The following is a 12,574-nucleotide window of genomic DNA, read 5'->3' on the forward strand; positions in this document are numbered from 1 at the left end:
TGACTTGCAAATAATAAACACTTTCATGGAAAATTTGCCCATCTCACAAGGTTTGTGTGAGAACAAATGTTATAATAGATATGAAAGGGTTATGAGAACCACGAGCACAGAGCACGCCACAGGAGAAGGGAATTATTGTCATACATGTGGCTTTATATAGATTGTAGAAAAAGGAGAAATTGGTGTATTTTAGTCCTTCCATAATGTTCATTATTATCATCACAATTATTATTATCTTCAAAAAGGTTTTATTAAGGTTATCAATATCATATGTCTGTATTTTTATTTATCATAGAATCAGGTCCTAGATTAGGCTACTAACTCCAGAAATGCATTAAAAGACCAGGTGTGAAGGGCACTTGCTCCCCCTTACCTACTCACAGGTGTAATATGCTAGCATATGTTCATTTTCACTGGATAACTTCTATAGCAAATTGGGTACATTATTGCTTGAATTTATAACCACGATATAATTTTTACTCAATATGTATTGAAAACAGAATGAGTTGTATAACAAAGGTTTCACCACATGGCATGTAGCTCTTTCTCTACAGGAAACAAAAATAGTTTCCAAAGAGGAAAGGGGAAAAGTCTATACCCATACACGCACACACACACAGAGGTCTAAGCAGGGATTACCCATGTTTTTTCCTTTCTGTTCTCCACTTACCACACAGAGTAAGTAAATGATAATAAATGCTATGTATTAATATAGCATTTATCATTCAGTGTTATTTTGCCATTTTTAAAGTTGACAAATTAAAATTGTGTATATTTATTGTGTACAACATGGTGTTTTCAAATATCTGTACATTGTGGAATGGCTAAATAAAGCTAATTAACCAATGTGTTACTTCATATACTTCTCTTTTGTGGTAAAATTTACTCTTACCAATTTTCAAGATAGTCCCTTATAGTTTATAATCATATATTTTCACCATTACACATTAAAGCTTTATAGAAAAGAATTGTGGAGCAAGGATTTTGCCGCAGGTTTCATTGTGAGGAATCCTGTGTGGCACTCGTAAGAATCTGTATGCTAATGAGGAATCGGTATAAGCTGACACATGTATTCCATTGTTGACAATGCTGACTGCCATAGCAAAATTTACACTATGACTGTGGTTGATACTTAATTTTCCTATACTGGCTGAATTATAAACAAGAACCCAACACCAAGACTTAGAATTCATTACAGACAATTGTTTATTTTCATGGCCAACTGAGTCCATCTGCCTACAAATTCTTATATAAACATCTCTTTAAAAATAGAAATGCTTATGAAAATGAGCATACACACTCTATTTGGAAGTGTAATACTAATGTGTACATAGCAATTAAAAATTTTGAAGATAATTTATTTGTTTAGCATGTTATGGTTTCTAAAGTACCTTAACCTTAATTTTCTCAATTGATGCTCACAAAAAACCAGTAAAATGCTACTTTTTCATTTTAGAAATAAGGCAAGTCAGGAACAGTGGCTCACACTTGTAATCCCAGTACTTTGGGAGGCTGAGGCCAGAGGAGCAGTTGAGGCCAGGAATTTGAGACCAGCCTGAGCAACAGAGAAAGACCCGGTCTCAAAAAAAGAAAAAGAAAAAAAAAATAGCCAGGTGTGATGGTGCATGCCTGTAGTCCCAAGTACTTGAAAGGCTGAAAGATAGGATTCTTTAAGCCCAGGAATCTGAGGCTGCTGTGAGCTAGGATGGCACCACTGCACTCCAGCCAGGATGGCCAAGTGAGACTGTCTCTAAAAGAAAAGAAGAGAAAAGAAAAAAAAGAGGCATCTTAGGTGCAAGAGATTATGTCATTCACGCATAATTAGGCTTACATGTGGTAGAGCTTAAAATCAAGCAGTTTTGTAATATAAACCCATAATCTGCCCAATTCATTTTCCTCCAAAAAGTCACAATGTTAAGAACTTGTAGAGGATGCAAATGAGAATGGTAGTAACTGAGGACTGTAAGTAGCCTGAGGGTTATTTTTTTTTTTTTACATGAAGGTAAGGTGGAAGGAGGTTTCATATCTTTAGAAAGGATATTGTGTGACTAACAGTCAAACGTGAATATCCTTTTGCTATTAAACAAGAAAGAATGTCTTTAAATTATTGCAAGGTGGTTTCTGAGTAAATAGTATAAATGTTCTTCAATATGGTTAAAAGACCCTGGAATTCATTGTGAGGAATGAATATTGTTTTATATTTTAAGATTTTTCAGAAATGCATAAATATCCATTTGGAAGTCTATATGAAGTGCAGTTTGCCCAGATGTTAGACATGATTCTAATCATTCTTTTTCCCCACTGGTATATATAACAGTGGCAGTACAGGAACACTGTGCAGGAGGTACATAGTGTGTTCTTAATAGTCACTAAGGCATTCACAAAGTCACTATTGCCATATGAATGTCTTAGAAAAAGTGAACTTTCTGTTTTTATTATGTTGAGATTCATATCAAAGACTTTAGGATTTTACTGCTGCCAATTTATTTTCCTTTAATGGGCAATTTTACCTTGTATTAATAGAGTTGTTAAAAACAGAAAATAACTAAAGTGCTAAGATTATTATTTGGAAAACCATCCCTTCCAGCAACTTGAGCCATTTATAGTGAGCCCAATATTCCTGTCTCTAACTGCCAGGGGAAACCTAAGTAGAAAGAAAAAGTTCAGGGGGATATCCTCTGTAATATTTTGCGAAGGTGAAGAAACAAACTTTCAAGATCAATTTCAACTCTGAATTCAAACCACTTCCTGAAATGAAACAGGAATGTGGTAAGAGAGAAATGTTGAATAGTGCCACCACTGAGGTTAGTCTTCAGACCAAATAAACATCTCCATTTGTATGTGCCTCATAACTACTTTTCAGGACTCATCCATCGATAAGTTGTAATTCAAAGAAAAATCCAGATAAGGGCAAATTGATAACCTTTATGTGTTAAACGAGCAGTGTTCATTCAAAAGAATTTGGGGTGTGAAAAACACCCTTTCCTTTTCAGTGCATTCAGTTTTAGTTATTATTTATCAGGCATTCCTCTCCAAAACAGAACTGTAATATAATGTCCAGAGGTCAATGTTTGTGAACATAGATTCCTCTGTACAATTTCTCTTTATGGCCTTCCCCATGACATCATTACCTTAACTTCAAACTTTAAAATTCAATTACATCTATTTGCTCTATATTGGTGGAAATGTTTATATATACTTTCAAGTATAGTTCTAGTACTTTTATTATTTATTTATTTATTTATTTATTTATTTAACTAATTATATATTTTTTTAGAGACAAGGTATTGCTCCATCACCCAGGCTGGAGTACAGTGACATAATCCTGGCTTACTGCAGCCTCAGTCTCCTGGGCACAAGAGATCCTGCTACATCAGCCTCCCAAGTAGCTGGTATTATAAGCATGTACCACCACACCAAACTAACTTTAAAAAAATTATTTTTTGTAGAGATGAGGTCTCATAACGTTCCGTAGGCTGGTCTTGAACTCCTGGGCTCAAGGGATTCTCCTGCCTTGGCCTCCCAAATTGCTGGAATTACAGACATGATCCACAGTGCCAGGCCCCTAGTACTTTTAACCTATTGGTTACCTTATACCTCTAGGTGCAAATTTTAATATATTCAAATGTAATCTCTTACAGGACATCCTACATGTTATTAAACCTTAGATGATAATGATAGTAAAATTCTTTTTTTTTTTTTGCTTTCTTTATTTCACAGGATTATACACTCACCATGTATTTCCAGCAGTCTTGGAAAGACAAAAGGCTTTCTTATTCTGGAATCCCACTGAACCTCACCCTAGACAATAGGGTAGCTGACCAACTCTGGGTACCAGACACCTACTTTCTGAATGACAAGAAATCATTTGTGCATGGGGTCACAGTGAAAAATCGAATGATTCGACTGCATCCTGATGGAACAGTTCTCTATGGACTCCGGTAAATGGCTTTATGTTGCATGTTTTAATGTTGTTGTTGTTTTGTTTCATTTTAAACTTTTGGAAGTGGGCAAAGGGGAGAGAAGCAAGAATATATAGATGAATATATAAATGGGGTGTCATATACTTATGAAGGTCTATTACAAACCCTCATGTAGTTAAGGGCTTTTTACAAATTATAGGCAACACATCAAAATTAACTACCAGTTTTAACAAGGAAATATCTGAACTGTAACCTGTTATTATAGGATATGTAAAGTGGTGGCTCTTTATTCTTTGGTGTCACCTTTAGTCATTCTTTTGAGAAACAGATGAAACCTATATATTCATAAACTCATATATGCCTCAAATTTTCCTGTTGTTTCAGAGTGTTCATAAGCCCCTTGAAATCCTTCCATGTACCATGAACACTAAGCTGAAAATCCAATTACGGGTCAAAATATAACAATTAATGTCTAAATTCACCAATGCCCCAAAACAATATACAAGTGAAAAAAATATATATCTGTGATGAAATTTCTAGTGGTTGGTTATTTAGTTGATAGCTTTGGTCTTCATTTGCACAGTAAAATAACATCAATTGTTCTTGGCAAAATGATCTTTGAAATTTTTTCACTCTTTCTGTACCCCAAGGACTTTCAACTTCAGTTAAAAATCTCTGAGTTAAAAGTCTTTGGGAGAAATGGTAAAATAAACTAACAGTTCCCTTGAGTCTATTGATAGCCACAACAAAAAGCCTACTAATCCAAGATTGGTGGTTAATCATTAGTTATGGTTCATATACTATAAATCAATTGTAATTTTTCTGTTACCAATGTAACTTCCGTCAGACATGCCCAATGTGTAAAGGGATGAATTACCCTTCTGAAGTATCCTGGGAGAGTAATTCCATGACTCAATTTAATAGGCTAATCAACCATGACATGTGTAAGTATATGGATTAGTCAAGAATATATAAAAAGTTGATTGGTTTAAAAAAAAAGAGCAACTAGATTTTTTTTGCAAGAAAGAATATGGTTTACATTGTCAGATTACAGAGTCTCACTTCAGGCATTTCCCAAATTATTACCAGCATCTACCAGTGGGAATAATACAAAGGAAGGAAAATATTTGAGAATCATGAAGTTGAATACATTTCATTTTACAACTGGGAAAACTGAGACAGAAAAGGGAGAAGTACCTTATATAAGGGAATAATAAGGTAATGGCAGAACTGGGACTAAAATCCGTGTATCCTGATTCCCATGCCTGTGCTTTTCCCACTCCACTGCCATTCAAGTGCACTTAGAAGTCAACTCCTATTTTCAGGTTGTGCACCACTGCTTTAATCCCTTCGGAGCCAACCCAGTTCTTTGTAGCTTGTTGTCTAGCGAACAGACAATGACCTTTCCAAAGAGAAACACAAACCATTCATCTATCATCTATGCCCTACTCTTTTTTCTGGCACCAATTTTCTCTGTAAGAGCCTCACACTAGTTCTCATAGCTTCCCTTTCTCTTCCTCTGTCTTTCCCACTTCCTCTTCCCTCACAGATTTGGTTTTCCTTTCCCTAAATGTTATCAATATCCTGGAAAGGCCATAAGGTATAGCAGAGAAAGTATGACATCTAGTGTCAGAGGACCAAGGTTGGGCATAAACTCCACAATTTTCTGACTTCTTGACCTTGAACAAATTATGTAAATTTGTTAAGACTTAGTTTTATCAGTTGTATAGTATATCAGTTGTATAGTAATGGGCTAATACCCCCTTACTCATTATTGGAACAATCTTATGAACTAATCAATATGACAATACATAGTAAGTCCTAAATTATATTTCTCTAAAGTAGTTGTGCCTTATATAGCCTTATTAGGTACTGGGCAAACTGCATACTCAGGATAGTTTTCTAACTCCCAGGGGTATCGGTGATTAAAATAGAGATAAAGTTGCTCAATTAAAAATACACTAATTGAGTGCCTATTATCTGCCACACACTCACTATTTTGGCCCTGAGAATAATATTCCAGAAGCTGAGTAGAAATTTGCCAGTGGACATAGAGCTGAAGACAATAGATACTGGGTACTCCAAGAGTGGGGAGAAGGGGAGTGTGGCAAGTGTTGAAAAACTACCTATTGAGTGCTATATTCATGATTTGGGTGATGGGTTTAACAGAAGCCCAAACCTCAGCATCATACAATATAGTCATGTTACAAACCTGCACATGTACCTCCTAAATCTAAAATTTTAAAGAAAAAAGAAACTTTTCAGTGGAATACACTTGGGACTTTGAGTCAAGAGACTTGTGGCCTAACCAGTTGATGCCCTTCAGTAAGCCATTTCACCTCCCTGGGCTTCAGATCCACCAACCTTAAAAAAAAGTGATTGGATGAAACTGTTCCTAAATTTCCTACTGTATTAGTCTGTTTTCATATTGCTATAAAGATGCTACCCAAGACTAGGTAATTTACAAACAAGAGAGGTTTAATGGACTCGCAGTTCTGCATGGCTGGGGAGGTGTCAGGAAACTTAACAATCATAGCAGAAGAGGAAGCAGGCATGTCTTACATGGTGGCAGGTGGGAGAGAGAATACCAAGGGGGAGGAACCCCATACTTACCAAAAAAAACAGGTCTCATGAGAATTCACTCACTATCACAAGAACATCATGGGGAAATCACCCCTATGATCCGATTACCTCCCACCGGGCCCTCCCTTGACACCTGGGGATTACAATTTGGATTACAATTCAAGATGAGATTTGGGTGCAGGACACAGAACCAAACTATATCACCTACTAAACGCAAATTCCATTGCTTCTGTGATCCTATGTATTAGGGCATGTTCATTTTAATTCCCCTGATGTAACATTTCCTAGTCTAAGAAATGACAGTCTGCATTTTTCCTAGGTAAGAGTCTTTTAAAGAATATCTGTTGTCACCTCCTAAGCACACATATAAGAATATCCTTATCATATAACATATTGGCATATTTATAGCTGTATTTATTTTAGGCATGAGTAATTAAGAGAATCAAACTTCTTGTCTTATTCCTTTCCATCAGTCCAGCTCATAGTCATCATGAACGGGTCCATATATTAATGAGCAGGTTTTAGCAATCATGGGATCAATGAGATGTTCTGAATGCACTGGAAAGCCTTTGGCTAGGTATTCCATAATCGTAACAGCATGTCATTAAACAAAATCAATTTGTTGCTATATTCAAACTCGGTAAGCTCAATATGAGATACTATAACTTAACTTACATGAAGCCAGAAGAATAGAGTCAGTTGTCTATTTTTGTGAACTATGTCAATTCATATTTTTCACCAAAGGGATGGCACATAGTCCTGTAAACACTCTGACATAACAGAATGGTGTCTGGTAAGGGACTGGCACTTCTAGAGGAACCAGGCTACTATGCAACAGATATTCGGCCCTTGGGAGAGACTTCATTCCTTGTGCCTCTTGCCCTTAGGTCACCCTCCTGTGACAAAACGTATTACACAAAAGAGTAACCCAGTAACCTCTAGTAATTCCTCCTCCATTTAGGTGGGGAATCTAAATAAAGAACGTCCATGATGTGCCGTAAGTTGTGTTAGGAGACCAGAACTTTAGTCCATGTGCCATGAGCCATTTACCTTGGTCTTTTCAGAACACATGATGTCATTTCCTTTCTTACTTAAAAGCGGAGACTATACAATATCACCTCCGTCTATGTCACTTAAAATTCTTCTGTTTTTCCTCCCTTACTTCCACTTAACTTGGAGGAGGATTTTTCTCTTTTTTCTAAGGCTAATCTCTCCATGTCTGCATGTAATCTTCTTGGTACACACTCTTTACAGACTTTGCTCCCCCATTTTATCTACCTCTCCAGCCCTTCCTCTCTGTTGACTCCCTCTCTTCAGTTTCTGCTTTGAGCACCAGTTTTCTCACAGCTTTGGTTTCTTCTACTGCCTCACTACACATTACTCCTCTATCTCCAACAACATGGTTCCCATCCATGCTACTTTCCTATAACAACTCTGCCAAAAATTACCAAAACAATCACTGGTTCTCAATCTCTACTCTTGACTTCTCCGAATGCTTTAAGAGTAATGACTGACTCTGACTTCAGGACTTCCAAGACCCAGCCCAATTTTTAAATTATTCTTGTTCTTCTGTCTTTTTGTTATTTCATTATTGACTCCTCTTTTGCCACTAATTGGGAACTGTAAGGATTCTTCACGATTTGATCAGTTTATTGAGTTTAACAGCTTTAAATATCTAACCTCCCAAACCACTGAGTTTCCAAAATTTCCAATTGCTCACTGAGCACCTGTATTTGGATTGCCTGCCAGCTCCTCCTCACATGACCTCTAGTTCATATCATTTGATTTTCTCAAAACTGGGCCGTCCTCCTTTCCCAAGTGCTAATGAAATTACCATTATCCCATTCAATAGACATAAACTTGAAGGCAACTGTAATTCCACGTCTCTTTTGTCACTGAGACTTAATCTGTTGCTTCAATTCCACTCTATCTCAATCTTCTCTATTTCCAAATCACTTCTACCATCTAAATTAACATCCTCACTATCTGTCACTTCCTGGCCCATTTCCTATCTCAATTTTTCTCATTATTGCCATCTTATTTCGCCTAGAAAAAAAAATGGTTCCTCTTTCAGAAATCTAAGACCCTCTGCTTATTTCTGTAAACATATCTGAGGCATTTCAAGCTTAAGTATGTTTTAAATATTTTATCCCATAAACATTTCATGGAATATACAGTTGACTCAGGAATAACATGGGATGAACTGCGTAAGTCCATTTATTGGAGGATTTTTTTTCAATAAAAGTTACACTGAATGTGCCTGCCTCTCCCGCCTCCCTTTCCACCTCTTCCCTGTCATCCACTTCTGCCACCCCTGAGACAGCAAGAAGGACCCTTCTTCTTCCTCCTCTTCCTCAGCCTACTCAGTGTGAAGACTATGAGGATGAAGACCTTAATGATGATCCATTTTCACTCAATAAATAGCAAATATATTTTCCCTTCCTTATGATTTTCTTAATGACATTTTATTTTCTCTAGATTACTTTATTGTAAAAATAAAGACCTATAATGTAAATTATGTGTTTGTTGCTGTTTACATTATTAGTAAGTCTTTTTATTAGTAAGGTGTTATCAGTATGTTATTAATAGTTACATTGTGAGAGAGTCCATAGTTATACATGGATTTTTGATTGCATGAGGGGTGTAAGAGCCCTTAATCCCTACATTGTTCAATGGTAATTATACTACAAAAATTATTTGTCATTTCTCTAAAATTCAAATATAACTGGGAAACCAGTATTTTACCTGGTAACCCTACAGCCCTACCGATGCCCTCCCTTCTCTGCCCCCACTCCACCACCTTTTCCCATCTTACTGTTGCTTCAAAGTCTCCCTCAAATTCCACTTTCTCCATGAGAACTTTCACAGTTTTCCTAACCAGATGAAAACTCTCTCTCATTTGATGCCCTACTGCAATTTAATCTTACAAATTGAAATTCATAACTCTCTTACAATGTTTTATCTTTCTGTAGTCATTTTCCACTGATGTACAGGATTGTGTATTTGTTGAAAATGTGAATTGTATTTCCTTAAACTTTGTATCCTCTCTCTCAAACCAAATAGATGCCCAATAAATGTTTGTAGAAATGAAATTAAAAATTGTAGGATGCAGTCACCTGATTCACAATAGTTGTCAGCTGCAACATTTTCTATATCTACATGATGGCTTGTAACCAAAGAGCAATTATCACTATTAATGACCAGATGTATTCTGCCTCTTCTCCAAACATGGTCCAGATGGTTGCATACACTTATTCTCTCCAAGCCCCAGCCATGTGCGCGCTGAAACACTGTGTTTATCTTTCCCTGAAAATGGCAGGCACGGAGGAATTTAATTCTGAGAAGACATTTAGTGGAGCATTTAACCTCCTTGAAAAAAAAAATGCCTTTTTAAATTTTTTGCCTTCTCCTCCTAGCCCCTACAATTGCTTTTCTTTCAAAGTTCCACAGTGATCCTTCCTTCTTCTTTTACCAGACGTGAGCCCAGGGCCAGGTGGTTTTGAGGAATTAAAAATGAATGTGTGCAAACAGCTAGTGGAATGAGGAATGCTGTGGTTTGAATGTTTGTTTCCTCCAAAACTCATATGGAAATGTAATTGCCATTGTGACAGTTTGGAGAGCAGAGATATTTAAGGGGTGACTAGGTCATAAGGGCTCCATCCTTGCAAATGGACTAAAGCTTTTCATGGGAGTTGGTGTGCCCCCTCTAGCATATGTGTTTTGTCTCCCGTGCCCACTTTCTCTCTTTCTTGCTCTCTCAATTTCCCCTTCTGCCATCCTATGATTCAGCAAGAAGGCCCTACCAGATGCAGCTCCCTAGGGAATCTTGGATTGCTCAGCCTCCAGAACTGGGAGCCAGTAAATTTCTGTTTATTATAAATTACCCAGTTCATGGTATTCTGTTATAGCAACACAAAATGGACTAAGATGGGAAGTGAAAAGCCTTCCATTCCAATACTGCTCCACATCAGGTCTCTGTACTTGTGTTGTTGAGTGTGTATGTAGGTCTGTTATGCATACATTGTAAGTATATACAGAGTGAGATGTACATACAGTATCATTTTAACTAATATTAGTGGCAATTGTATCATGAAATTTAACCAAAACCCATGTAAATAAGTAATTGAAAATATATTATATAACAGACACAATGCTTAATGCTCACCTATATTGTCGTATGTCATCTTTACTGCAACACTATGAGCTATGTACTACTATTAAGCTAATACTAAAGATTCCAACACTGGGAGATCAAAAGTAAATTTTACTGTCTCATAATTTGTTACTTCTTTACTTTTTAAAAGTAGGTCCCAAAGAGTACACACATTGCATTTGGCTGCTAAATCGTTAACATTCACATCTCTTTTACTCTACAGTTTCTTCTCTTCCCTTTTTAGCCCCCCTTGTAAATTATTTTTTGAAGAAATGATGTCATGTTTGTGATTATATTCCCTTATTGTAAATGTCTTTCTCTATCTCCATCTCCTATATTAAGACTTGATCAGATTTAGATTACCTGCTTTTAGGGTTGTGTTTTGGCAAGACTGCTTCATAGGCAGTATAGTATACTTCTATGAAGGGACCCAAAATGCCTGACTGTCTTCTTTGATGATACGAAGATTGATGAGCAGATTCAGATATATTGACAGCGTGATCTATCCACTTATATTAATTTTAATGTAATTGTATTACTTCGCTGGGGCTGCTGTAGCAAAGTACCACAAACTGGATAACTTAAACAGTAGAAATTTATAGTCTCACAGTTCTGGAAGCTAGAAATAAAAAATCAAGGTGTTGGCAGAATTGGTTCATTTTGAGGGCTCTGAGGAGAAGGTCTGTTTCAGACCTCTCTTTTTGGTGCATAAATAGCCATCTTCCCCCTGTGTCTCCACATAATCTTCCCTCTATGTGTATTTGTACTTAAATGTCCCCCTTTTGTAAGGACACCAGCCATCACCAGTCATATTGGATTAGGACCCACCCTAATGATCTCACTTCAACTTGATTACCCCTCTAAAGACTCTATTTTCAAATAAGGTCATATTCTAAGTCACGGAGGTTTAGGACTTCCACATATGAATTTGACGAGACACAATTCAACCCATAATAGCAACTGATAATAATTTTCTAAACCTATTTAGCATTTGCAAAATGGAGATATTCTATCATCTCTTCTTTATTTATGAACTATACTACTCTCTAAAAAAGGACTGAACTCACTGACTATTTGATTATCTTGAGGTAGAGTTTGTACAGTGAAAGCAGGATAAATGCTTGACTGCTTCCTCTTATTTAGCAGTTTTCTAAACAAGTTATTTTCCATAAAATCTTCCAAATGTGACCACCAAGGGTTAGTATTTTGTTGTCTCATATTCTTATACCTTCCTTTGTTTAAAAGGTAGCACACTATGCCAACCACTCTGTACCTTACAAAGTGATTTTGCAAAGCCACCATAAATGTGGAAGGCACTTTTTTTTTTTTTTGAGACTGAGTTTTGCTCTTGTTGCCCAAGCTGGAGTGCAATGGCACAATCTTGGCTCACTGAAACCTCTGCCTCCCAGGTTCAAGCGATTCTCCTGCCTCAGCCTCCCGAGTAGCTGGGATTACAGGCACGTGCCACCGCACCCAGCTAATTTTTTGTATTTTTGTAGAAACGGGGTTTCATCATGTTAGCCAGGCTGGTCTCGAACTCTTAATCTCAGGTGATCCCCCCGCCTTGACCTCCCAAAGTGCTGGGATTACAGGCATGAGCCACCGTGCCCGGCCTTGAAAGCATTTTTAGCCCAAGTCTTCTCACTCCAGAGTCTACACTCTCAGCCCTGGCATAAGGCATCTTACTGTCCCTGCACATCATTTCTAGGAAGACAGTTGTCTATGTATGGTGATTTCACTGCTCACCATTATAGAAATGAAACTAACTGCAGAAGGTAGACAGCCTAAATGGGAGTAGCTCTGCCAAGTGTGTGAGCTTTTAAAAAAATGTATACAATTTTTTTGGCTTTTCTAATTCATACTAATGATTCTAAATTACAAAGAGAAGCCATTCTGCTTCAGATTTTGGAAATGA

General features: G+C 37.0%; 1 protein-coding gene across 4 annotated transcripts in view; it reads left to right on the forward strand.

Annotated features, from left to right (window-relative positions):
- The window catches only part of GABRB1 (gamma-aminobutyric acid type A receptor subunit beta1), a 432,801-nt gene that overhangs the window by 163,882 nt on the left and 256,345 nt on the right, over positions 1-12,574 (forward strand). For all 4 annotated transcript variants that reach the window (XM_024453977.2, XM_024453976.2, NM_000812.4 and 1 more), the window contains one exon: positions 3,721-3,941. In XM_024453977.2, coding sequence (XP_024309745.1) covers positions 3,721-3,941 — 221 coding nt within the window. The remainder of the gene's footprint in view (positions 1-3,720; positions 3,942-12,574) is intronic.

This window comes from Homo sapiens, chromosome 4 (genome assembly GCF_000001405.40).
Source record: "Homo sapiens chromosome 4, GRCh38.p14 Primary Assembly".
NCBI lineage: Eukaryota > Metazoa > Chordata > Mammalia > Primates > Hominidae > Homo > Homo sapiens.